At 55.7% G+C, this 18,029-nt stretch overlaps 1 protein-coding gene across 6 annotated transcripts in view, besides 6 other annotated features; it reads right to left on the bottom strand.

The window, feature by feature from the left end:
• INPP5A (inositol polyphosphate-5-phosphatase A) overlaps positions 1 to 18,029 on the bottom strand; it is a 245,694-nt gene that overhangs the window by 220,661 nt on the left and 7,004 nt on the right. The window lies entirely within an intron of this gene.
• Positions 2,500 to 2,549: an enhancer, noted in NCBI's record as "active region_4229". NCBI's record gives its function as "activates an Ori minimal core promoter by ATAC-STARR-seq in GM12878 lymphoblastoid cells {active_cell/tissue: GM12878}" and the evidence as "EXISTENCE:reporter gene assay evidence [ECO:0000049][PMID:35858748]".
• Positions 7,005 to 7,505: an enhancer, noted in NCBI's record as "H3K4me1 hESC enhancer chr10:134368819-134369319 (GRCh37/hg19 assembly coordinates)". NCBI's record gives its function as "activates a minimal SCP1, AML or CMV promoter by ChIP-STARR-seq in primed H9 embryonic stem cells {active_cell/tissue: H9 hESC(primed)}" and the evidence as "EXISTENCE:reporter gene assay evidence [ECO:0000049][PMID:30033119]".
• Positions 11,229 to 11,969: an enhancer, noted in NCBI's record as "H3K4me1 hESC enhancer chr10:134364355-134365095 (GRCh37/hg19 assembly coordinates)". NCBI's record gives its function as "activates a minimal SCP1, AML or CMV promoter by ChIP-STARR-seq in primed H9 embryonic stem cells {active_cell/tissue: H9 hESC(primed)}" and the evidence as "EXISTENCE:reporter gene assay evidence [ECO:0000049][PMID:30033119]".
• Positions 11,970 to 12,712: an enhancer, noted in NCBI's record as "H3K4me1 hESC enhancer chr10:134363612-134364354 (GRCh37/hg19 assembly coordinates)". NCBI's record gives its function as "activates a minimal SCP1, AML or CMV promoter by ChIP-STARR-seq in primed H9 embryonic stem cells {active_cell/tissue: H9 hESC(primed)}" and the evidence as "EXISTENCE:reporter gene assay evidence [ECO:0000049][PMID:30033119]".
• Positions 16,261 to 16,848: an enhancer, noted in NCBI's record as "H3K4me1 hESC enhancer chr10:134359476-134360063 (GRCh37/hg19 assembly coordinates)". NCBI's record gives its function as "activates a minimal SCP1, AML or CMV promoter by ChIP-STARR-seq in primed H9 embryonic stem cells {active_cell/tissue: H9 hESC(primed)}" and the evidence as "EXISTENCE:reporter gene assay evidence [ECO:0000049][PMID:30033119]".
• Positions 16,849 to 17,435: an enhancer, noted in NCBI's record as "H3K4me1 hESC enhancer chr10:134358889-134359475 (GRCh37/hg19 assembly coordinates)". NCBI's record gives its function as "activates a minimal SCP1, AML or CMV promoter by ChIP-STARR-seq in primed H9 embryonic stem cells {active_cell/tissue: H9 hESC(primed)}" and the evidence as "EXISTENCE:reporter gene assay evidence [ECO:0000049][PMID:30033119]".

The raw sequence follows: 18,029 nt of genomic DNA, 5'->3' as shown, positions 1-18,029 counted from the left end.
GGCCTCTGCAGCTGCCATCCATCCCCACAGGCCTGCAGAGCCAAGGTCTGGTCCTGGGCGTGGGGTGACTTTAATTCACCCTCGAGATGAGCCGTGGAAGCATGCCGCTCCTCACAGTGCCGTGGGCTCTGAGGGAAAGAGAAGCCAGCAGGGCTTTCTCCACCTCAAGAAAACCAGCTCCAGTTCATACTGGCCACACTCGTGCCGTGTGTGCAACACGCACCATGTTTCACGTGCTGGGAGCCGCAGGCGGCAGCCACATCCAGAACGCAGTCTCTGCCTGTCATGCAGAGGTGTGACGGGTGTGCAGGGAGCCGAGGCTGCACCTCGCTGTGACCCGACGAGCTGCTGGGTGCACACTCCTCACAGGAACTCTACGCACCTCATGGGGGGAGCCACCCCCAGGCCCAGGTTCACCTACGTGTCCTCCCACCTCCTGACAACACTGCCAGGTCTGTGCCCACTTCCAGAAGGGCTGCAGACAGGCAGCAGACAGGCCAGAGGTGGCGAGCGGGCCACGCAGAAGGTGCCTCCCAGGTTCCCTGGGTGCCAGGCCTGGCCCAGCCGTATCAAGCCCTGGACACCTGTGATGTGCAGAGGTCATGCCTGGCACCAACTGGGCGAGGGCGGTGCAGCAGGAGGAGGACGCCAGGCCCCAGAAGCCGCAGGTGAGCCTCACGGTGCACAGTGCAGGTGAATGCACCCCTCTTCACAGGAGGCCGCCAAGCCTGGCTCTTCGGCCCTTCCTGGGCACCACCTGATGTTTTGTGTTTTTAAACTTCCTTTCCTACTTAAACTGCAGACATGAGTTTGCCCATCATAACTAGAACCCTGAAGCTGACAAACCCACAAGGGAGGCTTTAAAATCATCTTGCCGGGATCTCCCAGCCACATCACATGCCCCTGAGGACAGGGCCAAGCCATCTGCTCCCCTCCCCAGGACCAACCCCTATTAAGTAAGAACTGCATCTACAGATCCAACGCAACCCCCAAAATTCCACCAGGGTTGTGTGTGTGTAGATTCCAGCAGGGTGGTGTGTGTAAATTCCAGCAGGGTTGTGTGTGTGTGTGTGTGTGTGTGTGTGTGTGTGTGTGTGGAAATTGACAAACTAATCCTAAAATCAAAACAGAAATGGAAGGACACCAGAATAGTCAAAACAATCTTGAATAAAAGACAACAAAGTTGGAACTCTCACTTTCTGATTTCAAAACCTACCTCAATGCTACAATGATCAGGTCTGTGGTACTGGCATAAGGACAGACACATAGATAATGAAACAGAATCAAGAGTCCAAAAATAAATCTATATATTCATGGTCAATTAACTTCCAACAAGGATGCCAAGACAATTCAATGAGGAAGAATAGTCTTTTCAAAAATGGTACCGAGACAACCAGATATGGATATGCAAAAGAATGAAGACCCCTACCTCACACCAGATACAAAAATTAACTCAAAATATTTCAAAGACCTACATGTAAGAGCTAAAACTATAAAAATCTAAAAAGAAAAAATAAGGGTAAATTTTTGTGACCTTGATTAGGAAATGGCTTCTGGTTATGATAGCTGAAGCACAAAACTTAAAAAAAACTAGCCAGGTGTGGTGATACAAGTCTGTAGTCCCTGCTATTCCAGAGGCTGGGGTGGGAGGATCACTGGAGCCCAGGAGGTCGAGGTTGCAATGAACCACGATCACACCACTGAACTCCATGAACTCCAGCCTGGGCAACAGGGGAAGACCCTGTCTCAAAAAAAAAAAAAAAAAAAGTGCTTCAAACGACACTATCAAAAAAGCGAAGACAACACACAGAACAAGAGAAAACATTTGTAAATTACATATCTATCTAATAAGGGTCTAGCATCCAGAATATGTAAAGATCTCTTTAAACTCAACAATTAAAAAAAAAAAAAGCCTGGGCATGGTGGTTCACACCTATAATCCCAGCATTTTGGGAGGCCAAGGCAGGAGGACTGCTTGAGGCCTACAGTTTGATACCAGACTACAGCATAGCAAGACCCTGTATTTACAAACTAAAACTTTTTAAAATTAGCCAAGCATGCTGACACACACCTGTAGTCCCAGCTACGTGAGACACTGCTGCTTGGGAGGTGGGAGGATACCTTGAGCCCAAGAGGAGGCTGCAGTGAGCTATCATCGCACCACTGCCCTCCGGCCTGAGCAACAGAGCGAGAATCTGTCTCTTAAAAAAAAAAATTAAAATGTGCCATGGATTTGAATAAGCGTTGCTTCAAAGCAGATCTACAAATACCCAGTAAGCACACGAAAGACACTCAACATGATTACTCATCAGGGAAATGCAATTCAAAGCCACCAGGAGATACCACTGCACACCCACCAGGACGGTTACAGTAAAAAAGATGGACAATCACGAGTACTGTTCTGTGATGTTGGAAGTCTGCAGCCCTCAGACACTGCTCACAAGAACGAAAAATGCTGCAGCTGCTGTGGAAAGAGTCTGGCAGTTCCTTAAAAAGTCAGAATTATCACGTGACCCAGCAACTCCACAAGCAGGTCTACACCCAAGAGAGCTGAAGACACATCGTGACCCAGCAATTCCACAAGCAGGTCTACACCCGAGACAGCTGCAGACACAGGTTCACACAGCAACTCCACAAGCAGGTCTACACCCAAGAGAGCTGGAGACACATGTTCACACAGCAACTCCACAAGCAGGTCTACACCCAAGAGAGCTGAAGACACATCGTGACCCAGCAATTCCACAAGCAGGTCTACACCCGAAAGAGCTGGAGACACATGTTCACACAGCAACTCCACAAGCAGGTCTACACCCAAGAGAGCTGGAGACACATGTTCACACAGCAACCCCACAAGCAGGTCTACACCCGAGAGAGCTGGAGACACAGGTTCACACAGCAACTTGCACATGGACACTCATGTCCATCCACTGATGAACAGATACATGAAATGTGATCTCCGCACAATAAACAGCATTCAGTCATAAGGAAGAAGCACAGGTGAGCCCAGAACACACGTGCTGAGTAAGTGGAGTCCCTGGAACACACATGCTAAGTAACTGAGGTCCCTGGAACACACGTGCTGAGTAAATGGAGTCCCTGGAACACACGTGCTGAGTAACTGAGGTCCCTGGAACACACGTGCTGAGTAACTGAGGTCCCTGGAACACACGTGCTGAGTAAGTGAGGTCCCTGGAACACACGTGCTGAGCACGTGAAGTACGATGCGAAGGCCACACGCTGTTTGATTCCATTTGCATGAAACATCCAGGTCAATCCACAGAGACAGAAGTGGCTTCGTGGTTGGCGGAAGGGGGGAAAGGAGGGTGTCATCAAATGGGTACTGGGTTTCTTTCAGAGGTGATAAAAACATTCTGAAATCAGGGGCGAAGGTCACACGACCTTGTGAACACGCTAAAACACTGAACTGTAGGTTTTATGGTGCCTGAATTTTGTCCTAATTAAAAGTAATATCGACAACAATAAATGCAGCCAACACAGGCTTCCCCAAATGACAGGACTAACCCCCCACTGATGGGGCAGATTTACCACGTGTGCGCTTCACTCAGCAGGGCCGGGGAGAGGGGATGGAGCTGGCCCTAAGAGAGCTGCCACAGCTCCGAAGCCACCGACGGCCCCGAGCGGCGGGCAGCCTTCCTCCAGAGGCGAGCACACCACCACGTCTGTGTGTGATCAAGGACCATGAGGCAGTGAGTGGCCAGCCGGGCAAGCTCAGGGACCCTCAGGAAGCTGGCTGGGCAGGAGGCGGGGACAGAGAGGGCATGGGCCAGAGGACGGGGCTGGACTGTCCCGAGGAGGCCGATGGGTCTGGGAGGAAGGCTCCAGCTGGCTGGGCTCGACCAGGGTGGGCACCGTGAGCAGAGGACTTCCCTAAGGGGTGTGGAGGGAACGGCAGCTCCCAGAGCCACACACCCATGGCCCCGGAGGCTGCAGCGCACAGCTGCCTGAGGGTTCCACCTGGGAATCACCACTGCAAGGCGACTGCCGGCTTCAAAAGCCACATGGAATATCCTGGTCCCACGCTGACCCTGAGGAGTTTAGGCAAAGGATGTCAAGAAGCTGGTCAACTGCATGCGATGGCAGCGAGGCTAGGCTAGCACTGAGCCCAATGCTGCCAAGGCTACCGCCTCCCTACCTGGAGCGTCCCCCAGCTCCAGGGAGAAGGAGGAAGGGCTCCTCCAACAGCGCTCCTCATCGGCAGCTGCAGCTGGCCTCTCTCCACACCTGGAGCTCTTCCAGCCACAGGAGACTGGACATGAGGGACAAGTGGACCCCATGCATATGGACCACCCGCCCCCAGAGGGAGCCTGATGGAGACTCCGGTCTCTACTGCACAGGAGCCGACGTGGACGTGGCTTCAGGAGGCAGAAATACCAACACACCATGCAGCTGTCAGGGCCTGAGGAGGGGGACTGGATGTCAGGCGAGGATCATGTGGGATTAACCATGATTAGCCCCGGAGCGAGTGGCCTCTCAGGAGAGCGTGGGCCGGGGGGGAGAGCCCCAGAGCGTGCTCAGCGCGTGGGCCGGGGACACCCGGAGCAGCTTGGGGAAGTCGCGGCTCTGCGTGGCCCTTGGCACACCCCATCACATGCGCAGCTGGCGGGAAGGCTATCAGGACACAGAGCGCCCCTTCCCTGCTGACACCTCCAGGTACTCTGACCTGCCCTGCGGAGCCTCCACCTGGACAGCCAGGTGGCTTTTACTACCAGTTAAGAAGACACGGTGGCCATGTTTAGGTTCTACAGCAATTTAATTTTTCATGGGTGAGAATCTTCTCACTTTCAACAGTGAAAATGACCACAGTCCAGCCCCCAGGTCCACTGGGAAGACAGGGACTAGAATTCTCGCAGCAGGAGGCGGGCACGCGGGACAGACTGAGGGAGCACAGGGCCTCACCTGGCTCTGTCCAGCCTGGCGTCACTCCCGCCATAAGCCGTGGCTGCCACACTCTGAACAGAGACCCAGGGTAAGATGCACACTTTAGGCTATGGCCCTCCCCGCCCAGGCCCAGAGGCATTCAACAGAAAACTATGGTAAGTACCTCCAGGACTCACCTCCCTGCAGCCCGAGACACTCGGGCCCCTTTTAACCCAAATATGGTCTGACCCCTCAAAATGACCTCACAACCTGTGGTTACACCCTAAGTCTGACAGACATCAATTCCATAGGCACCAGGTTCAAACCAGCACTCAATGACCCTCTGCACTTGCTGGCATCAACATCAACTCAGAAAAGAGGCAAGAAGAAAAAATTGACTCGGCCCTACACAAAAATGAGCAGCTGAACCAGCAGCTGAGAGCGGCCATTTTCTTCTGATTTCTACGCAGGTCTCTTGTTGGCATTAAGCAGTTGGGGAAACCCCCCTCGTGACTCTGCATGGGGGCTCCTCTGCAGCACGGTGACACTGCGCAGGTGTGGCACAGGCCAGGTGCCCGCGTGCTGCAGGAGGGCACTGCTGCAGGAGCCCACATCTGCCCGGCACTGAGCACTGTGACCCGTGGCCTAACCGGAACAAATCCCAGGCTCCATGGGAGTCACAGTGGCCCCGGGCGAGGGTGCCTCAGCCTGGACTCCATCCCTCATGTGAGACAGTCGGTCACAGCGGCAACAGACACCAAAGGATACCCCTCTGCAAGGGAAAACCTTCTCCCCAGAAAGCCGGGCCCGTCGGCCTTTAGGCGGAACTGACCAAATCTCCACTCAGACCTACCAAACCGGTGTCACAGCATACAAAAGAAACACACACACAAAGGCCACAACATGTGCGTACAATGAGACTCAGGAAGAAAACTTTCAGCCAAGAGTGCCACAGAAAGTGACCTCTCTACACCCATCAGTAAACACCGTCCTGAGAAGTCACAAGCCTAAGTCACTCAGCATCAGGGAGCACAATGACAGAAGTGTCTATTCCACAAACCCTACAGTCACTGCCTCATCAAATAACTTATCAGCAACCTAAATACAAGATCTGCAAGGGCTCCAAAGTTCTAAAATCAAAATCATAGAAAACCAAAAAAAAAAATCCCCAAAATGATAATACAAGTAACCAAGGCAATGCAAATTAAATTATAACAGATGCCATTTTACACATCTAATAGGTCACATTTTAAAGCCTGACCACAACAAAAGTTGTCAAGGATGTGGAATATCAGGGACTCTCCGACGGCCTGGTGGGAGTGTGTGATGAGCATGTGTGTGATGCACATGTGTGTGCCTATGTGGTATGCATGTATGTATATGTATGTTGTGCATGTGTATGGTGTGTACATATGCACCTGTGTAGTGCATGCTTGTACATGCATGTGTGTGCCTGTGGTGTGCAAGTGTGTGATGTGCATGTGTGTACAGAAACTTGGCACACTGGAGAGCAGCTTCCACCAGCCCCAACAGGTGCCCAGATATTCTGGCCCTGGTCCCCGTGGAGGTGCACGGAGAGGGCTCGCCGCATCAGCCCATGTGACAGCCGAACAGGAAACAGCCTCAGTGTCCACTGTGGGTCTGTGGATGCATTCTGGTGTGTTCACTCGGTGGAGCAAATTTCACAGCAGTTAAAATGCTGCATGACCTCACAATGCCTGCAGGACAAAGCCACAGGAGGACACAGGTGGCATAGTGACAGCCCCCGGAGCGTGCCATCAAGGAGGACCTATACATCTGGCAACTTCAGCACGGGGGCTGGGCCAGGCATCTGCACAAGGAAGGGAGCCCACAGGCTGGGACAGATGCCTGGGTGAAGGCGGCTCCTCCACTTCAGGGGCCGGGCAGCCCCCCGAGACACCAGGGCACGGCAGACCCCAACTCAGGTTCCACCCAAGTCTGGAACTGAATTTTCTCCATCAAAAGCACCAAGCGCTGAGCCAAGGTGAATTCCAGCAGGTGAGAGGCTGTTCATCCTCTTACGAAAAGGGGAAACGCGTGTTTTTCATCTGTGACGCAGATTCCTAATGCAGCAGCTGCCATAAAACGCTGAAGTCACCCCCTGGTCTGTCTGTGCAGACCACACGTGCTGAGGGCAACAAAACACCCTGCAGAGTGTGACAAGGTGTGTCAGTGTTGTGCCTGTCTGGGTCACTCTGCACGAAAACTAAACTAAAATTGTCAAGGTTATCAAAGTTCATAGACCATTTTTCTCCAAGACGCTAGGATACACTTGAACTCTCTCCCTGATAGGATAGAAGCCCCAAGTGTGTGCATTTGAGTTTGTGACCCACGGCTCTCAGGAGGCGAGTCAGGACGGCCCCACTGTCCAGAGGCTCCTGGTCACCCCGTGCACTTTGTGAGCACACACCAACGGCGCCAGGTCCCCTGAGTCACTTCAAGCTCCTCATCCTCCCAGCGTGGCCACGCCCCAGCCCAAGCCCCCCTTCTTCCCCTTCCGGCCAGGCAACTTATCAGAAGTTCAAAAAAACAGATAGGCCCCAGCAGCTCCACTGGGCCAGCGCCTGTAAAATGGGGTGAACGTACTCAGGGGACAACAGCCTCTCCTACGACATCTTCTCACTGGTCTCACAGAGGGATCAGGAGCGCCCTTCCCCAGCACGGTGAAGGAACAGGGGCCTGAGCACCATCACATATCACCACCCAGCCTGCAGCACCTGGTCCTGCCGCTTGCCATCCACACCCCCCCACCCCACCATGCCATCTATGCCACCCACTAACCACGCCAGCCACACCACCTATGTCACCCACAGCAGCCATGCCACCCACACTGCCCATGCTACCCACATCAATGCCAACCACGCCACCCATACCAATCATGCCACACACAATACCATGCCACCCATACTACCCACAGGGACCAACCACGCTACCCACATCAGTGCCAATCATGCCACCCACATGGACCATGCTACCCATGCCACCCACACCAACCATGCCACCCACACCATGCCACCCATACCACCCATGCTACCCACATCAATGCCAACCACACCACCCACATTGATCACACCACCCACACCGATCATGCCACACACAATACCACGCCACCCATACTACCCACAGGGACCAACCACGCTACCCACATCAGTGCCAACGACGCCACCCACACCAATCATGCCACACACAATACCACGCCACCCACATTGATCACACCAACCACAGCAATCATGCCACACACAATACCACGCCACCTATACTACCCACATGGACCAACCACGCTACCCACATCAGTGCTAATCATGCCACCCACATGGACCATGCTACCCATGCCACCCACACCAACCACGCCAACCACAACCCACAACACCCATGCCACCCACATCAACCGCACCAACCACGCAGCTTCCCAGGCAGGCTCAGCACCTATTTCCCGCCTCTCAGTAGCCTGAACAGCTGCCCCTTCCTTATTCTCCAGTTGGCTCTGATCCTCTGAAGCCCTCAGAACCCAGCCCCGCCACTTGCCCAGGAGACCCTCTGCGGTGTCCACCTGCACTGTGGACTCTGCGTGCCCTAAGCCACCCTCCAGCCACTGGACAAATCCCTCATCTCCTGCTGGAGCTCAGAAGCCAGGGAAGCCGGTGACCACAGCCGTGGAGCCAGGCAGCACAGTACACTACCCCTTTGCCCTGTGAGCACAACAGGCTAGTGAGGCCCTGAAAGTGACAACAGATATTCCAAATACTTCCTATCTGAATAAATATTTAACCAAGGCTCTGAGGAGGCGCCCTCGAATCCTCCCTCCCTATCCCACTCAATATTCCACCAAGGCTCTGAGAAGGTGTTCACCAGTCCTCCCTCCCTGTCCTACTCAATATGCCACCAAGGCTCTGAGAAGGCGTTCACCAATCCTCTCTCCCTATCCCACTCAATATTCCACCAAGGCTCTGAGAAGGTGTTCACCAATCCTCCCTCCCTATCCTACCCAATATTCCACCAAGGCTCTGAGAAGGCGTTCACCAATCCTCCCTCCCTATCCTACCCAATATGCCACCAAGGCTCTGAGAAGGCATTCACCAATCCTCCCTCCCTATCCTACCCAATATTCCACCAAGGCTCTGAGAAGGCGTTCACCAATCCTCCCTCCCTATCCTACTCAATATTCCACACCAAGGCTCTGAGAAGGCGTTCACCAATCCTCCCTCCCTATCCCACTCAATATTCCACACCAAGGCTCTGAGAAGGCATTCACCAATCCTCCCTCCCTATCCTACTCAATATTCCACACCAAGGCTCTGAGAAGGCATTCACCAATCCTCCCTCCCTATCCCACTCAATATTCCACATCAAGGCTCTGAGAAGGCGTTCACCAATCCTCCCTCCCTATCCCACTCAATATTCCACACCAAGGCTCTGAGAAGGTGTTCACCAGTCCTCCCTCCCTATCCTACTCAATATTCCACCAAGGCTCTGAGAAGGCGTTCACCAGTCCTCCCTCCCTATCCTACTCAATATTCCACCAAGGCTCTGAGAAGGCGTTCACCAGTCCTCCCTCCCTATCCCACTCAATATGCCACCAAGGCTCTGAGAAGGCGTTCACCAATCCTCCCTCCCTATCCTACCCAATATTCCACCAAGGCTCTGAGAAGGCGTTCACCAATCCTCCCTCCCTATCCTACCCAATATTCCACCAAGGCTCTGAGAAGGCGTTCACCAATCCTCCCTCCCTATCCTACCCAATATGCCACCAAGGCTCTGAGAAGGCGTTCACCAATCCTCCCTCCCTATCCTACCCAATATTCCACCAAGGCTCTGAGAAGGCGTTCACCAGTCCTCCCTCCCTGTCCTACTCAATATTCCACCAAGGCTCTGAGAAGGCGTTCACCAATCCTCCCTCCCTATCCTACCCAATATTCCACACCAAGGCTCTGAGAAGGCGTTCACCAATCCTCCCTCCCTATCCTACCCAATATTCCACCAAGGCTCTGAGAAGGCGTTCACCAATCCTCCCTCCCTATCCTACCCAATATGCCACCAAGGCTCTGAGAAGGCGTTCACCAGTCCTCCCTCCCTGTCCTACTCAATATGCCACCAAGGCTCTGAGAAGGCGTTCACCAGTCCTCCCTCCCTATCCTACCCAATATTCCCCCAAGGCTCTGAGAAGGCGTTCACCAATCCTCCCTCCCTATCCTACCCAATATGCCACCAAGGCTCTGAGAAGGCGTTCACCAATCCTCCCTCCCTATCCTACTCAATATTCCACCAAGGCTCTGAGAAGGTGTTCACCAATCCTCCCTTCCTATCCCACTCAATATGCCACCAAGGCTCTGAGAAGGCATTCACCAATCCTCCCTCCCTATCCTACTCAATATTCCACCAAGGCTCTGAGAAGGCGTTCACCAATCCTCCCTCCCTATCCCACTCAATATGCCACCAAGGCTCTGAGAAGGCATTCACCAATCCTCCCTCCCTATCCTACTCAATATGCCACCAAGGCTCTGAGAAGGCGTTCACCAATCCTCCCTCCCTATCCCACTCAATATGCCACCAAGGCTCTGAGGAGGTGTTCACCAGTCCTCCCTCCCTATCCCACTCAATATGCCACCAAGGCTCTGAGAAGGCGTTCACCAATCCTCCCTCCCTATCCCACTCAATATGCCACCAAGGCTCTGAGAAGGCATTCACCAATCCTCCCTCCCTATCCCACTCAATATGCCACCAAGGCTCTGAGAAGGCATTCACCAATCCTCCCTCCCTATCCCACTCAATATGCCACCAAGGCTCTGAGAAGGCGCCACCAATCCTCCCTCCCTATCCCACTCCAACTTCACCAAGGCTCTGAGAATGCGCCCATAAATGCTCCCGAGTGAATGGGAGACAAGGATGCAGGAGGACACAGCCTCACACAGAAGCTCTCCTGGTCCTTGGGCCTCCTGCTCCACCAACAGACTCAGCACAGCAGAATCAGAGGACACCTGGACCCCTGTGTGGGGGGTACTGCCAGGTTGGGCCGCAAGGCAGGCAGAGCTCCAAACCCCAGGGACTCCCCGAGCAGAACCCAGTTTAATCGTGCAGCCGACTATTCAGAGAAGACCCCGGCTGGCTCTTCTGACAGTCTTGGTCAGTCCTGCCTCTGTCCCCCTGGGTCCTGCCTCTGTTCCCTAGCTGGTCAGGCCCATTCCCACCCCACGTCCCTCCAGCCTGGGCCCAGGCCTCCACCTTCCACCTGTGTACGACGCACACACTGCCCACTGCAGCAGCGAGGGAGGCACAGCCGTTACAGCAAACAGGAAGTTGCAACAGCTCTGAAAAACCGTAACGGTGATGGAGAAAATTAAAGCAAGTCATATGTCCCCACAAGTCTGTGTGCTACTTGGACAGATGTCTTTCTCAAGAGAACCAGCTCCTCTGAGAGTCCCACCCAAATCCCCCCACATGACCCACAGTGGCTGGTCCACTTTGCACCCAGGCGTATGGCAAACACTTGCTGACCCAGAAGCCCGGTGTCCCCCGACCACCTGGAGGGACGCTGCAGGCAGATGACGGTGGGCTGGCCTGTCCCCTAACTAAGGCACTCTTTGCAAGAAACAAAGCAGCAGGCAGTCAACCCAGTTCTCAGCTTCACACTCGCAGGCTCATCCATGTGGTCAGAGTGCCAGGGACCACAGGAAGGGGCTCCCCACTCAGCTCTGCAGTCTAACATTCACAGTGCCAGCAGGTGGCAACTGACAGCCGCTCAGAAGCCTGAAAGGTAGGCAAGGGAGGGTGCTCAGGGATAAGGCTCCACAGCTGCCCACCAGGCTCGCACTCTGGGCCTCATCCCCATCATCTGCTCAGTGGGCTCAGGCAGGAACCTGGACCAAGCAGCGTGTGGCTACTGAAGCCACTGGCCCAAATGGACCACAGTGCAGCCCCTTTCAGGTGGACCCCTTTCCAGGTGGCCTGCAGAGTCCCCACCACATGGCCCACTGTCACCCAAGGATGGCCAGGTCCACCCTAGAGAGCCACGCACCCAATGACCACCCTGAAGGCCAAACGCCATAGGGGCCAGTTGGTGGCCAAAGAGACAACAGCTATGTCTGGCAGAACCGCCCCTGCAGTGCCAAGGATCTAAGACAACAGGAGGCGAGGTCAGCGACCATGGCCCCTCACACTCTGGCGGCTGCCACCTCCACCGTCTTCCATGAGGTCAGGCGGGACCAAACTAGTGTTTCCACTTGTTTTAATAGTGAAATAGCCAGACACCCCCACTCCCAGCTGTCCTACAGTGGACGTCCTGTGGCCAGCGAGCCCAGCCAGAATGCCGGCTTGGCCACTTGCATTCAGAAGGTTCGTACCATGCGGCTCACAGCCAGGCCCTCTCAGCACGTCAAGGGACACAGCTGCCGGTTCACGGAAAAGCTCAGCCCAAGGGTGTCGCTTCCCTCCTCTCACGGGCGCTGCTCCAGGTGTGGTGAGGTGCACCTTGGAGTGACAGCAGTGTCACAGGTGGCACTAGCTATGCAGAACCTCAGAGTTGCTGCTGAGACCTGCACCTGGACTCCCAAAAACCACTGACACCCAGGAGAGAGCGGTCGCTGGAGAGGACAGGGACTACTGGCCAGAGGCCTGAGACAGCCCCCCGAGCAGCCTCATTACATCCCTGAGAGGCTGGGTGAAGTGAATTAACCTGCGGGACCACTCTGACCCTAAACAGTGGCAATGTGGTCTCCTAAGCTCTCTCTGCTCTCCCCGATAAATACTAATAACTCAAGACTGACCCCATCTTCTACTGCCTGGTTAGTAACTCGAGCCTGACCCCATCCCCTAATGCCCGGTTAGTAACTCGAGGCTGACCCCATCCCCTAATGCCCGGTTAGTAACTCGAGGCTGACCCCATCCCCTAATGCCCGGTTAGTAACTCGAGGCTGACCCCATCCCCTAATGCCCGGTTAGTAACTCGAGGCTGACCCCATCCCCTAATGCCCGGTTAGTAACTCGAGGCTGACCCCATCCCCTAATGCCCGGTTAGTAACTCGAGGCTGACCCCATCCCCTAATGCCTGGTTAATAATTTGAGGCTGACTCCGTACTCTAAGGCACAGTGACTCAGACGTCACACCAATCCTGTAACAGAGACACACCAACCCCACCATTCAGACCAGGGGCAGAGAGTGGGGGCTGCAGGAACCCAGGCTGGGCTGGGTGGCCCCGACCTGTGTCACAGAGCCTCACGGAAGCCCCGGCTCCCGCCCTGCAGCTGCAGAGCTCCAGGACACGCACCTGTCTGCTCCTGCTTCACCTGCACTCCCCATGCTCATCACACCTGCCACCTGCCAGGCAAGCGGGAGCCTCGTAGCAGAGGCCTCGCATCCCACAGGCCCTCCTGGAGGGGTGGGCAGAGGGCAGCCCGCCAACACCGTCTGTCATCCAGCTGTCAAAGCCATTACCAACACGGCAAGATAACCATCCTTGTGGGGAATTATTATTTGGAAGTAGGACCAGAAATGCAAGTTAAACCGCAAGATGCCACCACACAGCCATAATTAAAAAGACAAATGCCACCAAGTGCTGGCATGATGCAGAAGAGCTAGAGTCCTTCCACACCACTCGACGGGGCACGAATGGGGCAGCAACTATGGGAAGAATTGAGCAGCTCCCGGAAAGACAGCCACAGAGTGACCACTCGGCCAGCCCTAGAGCAGTGACACCCTCGTCCACACAGGCACGTGCATATTCACAAACAGTACACTAGCCACGATAGCCCCGACGTCCATCTGTGGGCGACTGGAGAAACGAGGTATGCCTCCACTCAGGGGACACTGCTCAGCCATGAAACAGGGAAGACAAGCCCAGGCGCAGTGGCTCACACCTGTCATCCCAGCACCTTGGGAGGCCAAGGTGGGAGGATCACTTGAGGCCAGGAATTCGAGACCAGCCTGGGCAACATAGCGAGACCCCATACCTACAAAAAATTGTAAAAGCCTGGCATGGTGGCCGCGCCTGTGGCCCCAGCTACTCAGGAGGCTGAAGCAGGAAGAATGCTTGAGTCCAGGAGTTTGAGGCTTCGGTGAGTGGTGACTGCGCCACCGCACTCCAGCCTAGGTGGAAGTGAGACCCTATCTCAAAAAAAAAAAAAAAAAAAAAAAAGCCAGATAAACTGCTGATATGCAAAGCATATCAATACAAACCTTGAAACGCTGCGTTATGCTAAGTCAAAGAAACCAGACGCATGAAAACAACACAGCCTGTGGTTCACGATACAGTGCCCTCGGCGCAGGCGAAACTGGCGGGACAGAAAGCAGTTGTGGCCCAGGGCCGGGAGCAGGGACTGAGGAGGGAAGTGTCTCAAAACTGGGGTGCGGTGATGGTTACACACCATAAATATTTTCTCAAAGTCAGTGAACCATACACTCACATTGGGTGAACTGCATGCTATTCAAATCCCGGGTAAATAACACTGTTAAACGCGCAAACACAAAAGCCAACCAGATCTCGGAACACCCCCAGGCCGGGTGCGAGGCAGAAGCAGAGTCGACTCCCGGGCCACCGGCAACGGGCAGCAGAGGCCTGGCCTGGCCTTTGGTGACTTCAACACCCCTTCCCCTGGCCCCACTGACCTCCTGAGCATGGCATATGTGGCCGCAAACACCACCACGGTCCGGGGACTACCGGATCCACAGCTCCTCCAACTCCCTTCCAGCTGCATTGGCCCCACCCCACCCCTCCACCCATTTGAGCAGAACCCGAATAAAGACACCATGGCCGGGCACGATGGCTCACACCTATAATGCGGGCAGATCACAAGGTCAGGAGTTCAAGACCAGCCTGGCCAATACGGTGAAACCCTGTCTCTACTAAAAATACAAAAAAAATTTAGCCGGGTGTGGTGGTGCACGCCTGTAATCCCAGCTACTAAGGGGGCTGAGGCAGGAGAACTGCTTGAACCTGGGAGGCGGAGGTCGCAGTGAGGTGAGATCACGCCATTGTACTCCAGCCTGGGTGATGGAGTGTCCATCTTAAAAAAAAAAAAATTAAAAAAGACACCATGGTCCCCACCCCAGACGCTGCTGCCAAAGGCCAGCACACCTGAGTGTGACGCCACAGTCACGGTAAAGCACAGTATGACAGGAAGGGAGCTTGGGACTCACTTGGTGAGTCACCAAGAGCGCGTCACAGGGCTGGGGGCACGCGGGCTGTCCCGTGAAGGAGGAAAACCCTGCTTGCCTAGGCGAGGCGTCCCGGAGGAACCCTTTGAAAAAAGAGCCCCTCAAGCTGAGGCATGAAGGCCTGAAAAACCAAGTCCTGTTCAGGCCACGGGCGCTTGGGTAGAGAAGGAGGAGATGGGAGGTCAGCCCAGGGCGACGGCGAGGGTGCAGGTGCCCGGCCTCCCGGGAACCCCAGATGCCAGGCAGGTGGGCAGAGGCGGGCACTCCCTCCCGGTTATATTCACCACGGCAGCTGGGCCCGGGCTCACAGAACCTCACACCACCTAGGCAGCCGAGTGCACTGCTCAGCCTGGGCCACGCGCCCCGGACAGAAGCAAAGGCCAGGCTGTTACCGAGAGGCCGCCGAGAACACCTGACGCCAGGAAGAGGATGGAGAGAGCCCCTCCAGGGACCCCTGATGGCAGTAACGCCTCACTCAGCCCAAAGGCTGACAGTCCAGAAACCATGTGACAGCCACGCCCTCCCTGACCACCCTGAGCCACCATGCAAGGTGGGATTCCTACTCCCTGGGCACAGACAGGCTGACAGGTGAAACACAGCCCAAGGCCGCACATGCGAGGAGAGGTGGGGCCTGCCCCGCATCCACGTGAACCTGGACTGTGGCCTGGCACCTGGCACTGAAGGCGGGATTTCCTCTCCACAGGGACTTGGGCCAAAGCCAAGTCTCGGGTTCTTCAATCTCCTCTGGTTCCTGGAATGAGGACCAGTCATGCGGGACCCCGAGAGGGGAGGACGCAGAAAGGAAGGCTGTCTGCGGCAGATGACACAGCCTGCTAACCAGGGCCAGGCCTGGGCTCTGCTGAGCAGGAAACAGAGTCTGCCCCTGCCAGAGTGCAGTCCTGGTGCCTACAGGACCAAAAGCAGGGCCAGGCAAGACCAGCCAGGCAGGCCCAGGCAGAAACGAGAGGGAAGGGCCAGGGAGAACAGTGGCTGGGCGGTCAGGTGGGGACAAGGGGACAGGCCAGAGCCCAGGGGGCCCGGGGTATGCAGTGCACCCAGGAAGAGGGGCAGTTCAGTGCAGGCTACACAGATCTGCAGGAGCCAGGAGACCCCACACAGAGACGCCCAGGACAATCCAGAGTGGGAAGGAGGCGGGGAAGGGGCCGGGGAAAGCTGCCCCAGCAGCCGAGGCAGCCCTACTAAGCCCTTACACCTTCCAAGAGAGAAGGGGGAGCACGGCCCCCCGACACAGCAACCAGCTGGTCCCCAGCAACCCCTGAAGAGGAGTCTCACACTCCTGTCGGAGAGAAGGATCAAGAAGACAACCGGCTCAAGGTCACCGAGACCCACCAGGGGCTCAGGGTTCAAGTAACAGGCTGATCCGGAGGCCATGCTCCTGGAGGTGGGGCTGTTCTCACTCACAACGGGGAAAAACCAGAAGCGGCATCTTCTGAACCTGGAGCGGCAGCAGAGGGCCTTTTCCCAACACTCAGGGCACGCCGCTGGGAAACCACTTCTGCGCCAACGCCAAGACCCCCGCGGGCTGGGAGCGCCATCACCCTAGACCTGCCCCAGAAGTGGTGTCCAGCCCCAACCCACCCAGGACGACTGGTGGCTTCCACATCCTCGGAAGCGTCCTCGGTCACATGAGCACATGGCGTGACACGGCCAAGGGCTGCAGGCTCCAGGACGTCCCCAGACGCCTCGGCCACTCATCCCAACACAACGGTGCTGCCGGCCCCCGTACACAAGCAGGACCTGGTGGACGCTCCTCCAGAGCCACTTCCACGTCTCCAAACACACCATGAACATTAGAGCCTAAAGAGTGGACACAGTGCAGGTGCCATCCACACTCTCATCACCTCAGGCCGAGCGGAGGCAGCAACCACGATTGAGGCAGTCGGCCTTCCTGAAAGCCGGCCTGGAGCCAGCGCTCAGAGCTCCACAAAGCAGGGGGAGCTTGGAAAACGCCAGATCTGAGCCCATGGCAGCACCAACCAGACCTGGTGGGGTGCGACTTGGGGCTCCAGAGCCTCTGAGCTCAGTTCCTGGTTCCCACCGGGCTCTGAGATTCCCAAGTATCCCAATTAATGAAACCGAGCAAAGGAAGGGGGAACTTGACAGCACTTTCAGGTCCGCATGGGAACAGCCTGCCTGTTCCGCACCCTCTTCCCCTAAGGCCCCCACAGGTATTTCACTGGAGTGCACTCACATCAGAAGGACCCGCCCAGGAGACAGCGGGAACACCCCGGCAGGGGCAGTGGGGCACAGAGTGGCATGTGGAGAGATGCCCACCCTCCTCCGCCTGGACCCCATTCCCGGATGGAGGCCACCTTCCTGGAGGCTGTCCCTCCGTGAGCCCCACAGCTCAGAGAGACCTGCCGTCTCCTGCCGTAGGCAGCCCCCTCAGCCGCCCCGATCTGGTCAAAGTCTTCCGAATGCCCCTCTAGCCCCTGGACAGAGGGGCTCTAAATTTGATGCTTCACGGTGGGGCAGGCCTGGGTCTGGATTTCTGTAACTTCTGAATCAGACCCAACAAGTCCACGGAAACACCCCAGTACCAGCCTCTTCCCCCAAAATCAGACCCCCACCGAGCACAGCCATCCCAGAGCCGTGCGGGGCCCTCTGCCCTGCTCCACCTGCCCCACAACTCCACACGGACAGACACTCCTCAGTGGTGCTGGTCAGAGTGGGGCTTCTCGGAGCAGCGCAGGCAACAGGGACGGACGTGACCACGCCTACGTGCAGACATTCTCCCAACACTGCCCGACAGGTCGATCTGGGTGCTTACTTCAAAACATGAGGAATCGTTAATATTTCAAACCAAAGAAGTCCCACCACCCCCACCCCTAACCCGGGTGATCTAAACTCTCTCCTCAGCAACTCTAGAGACTGATAAAAAAACAGGAAGTAAACGGGGGATGAAAGTTTGTGAGCAGAGAGAACACCGCCGGCCGTTCTCAAAGGCTGAATCAGTAACAAT

This window comes from Homo sapiens, chromosome 10 (genome assembly GCF_000001405.40).
Source record: "Homo sapiens chromosome 10, GRCh38.p14 Primary Assembly".
Taxonomy (NCBI): domain Eukaryota; kingdom Metazoa; phylum Chordata; class Mammalia; order Primates; family Hominidae; genus Homo; species Homo sapiens.
This window is presented reverse-complemented; position numbering and strand designations above follow the sequence as displayed.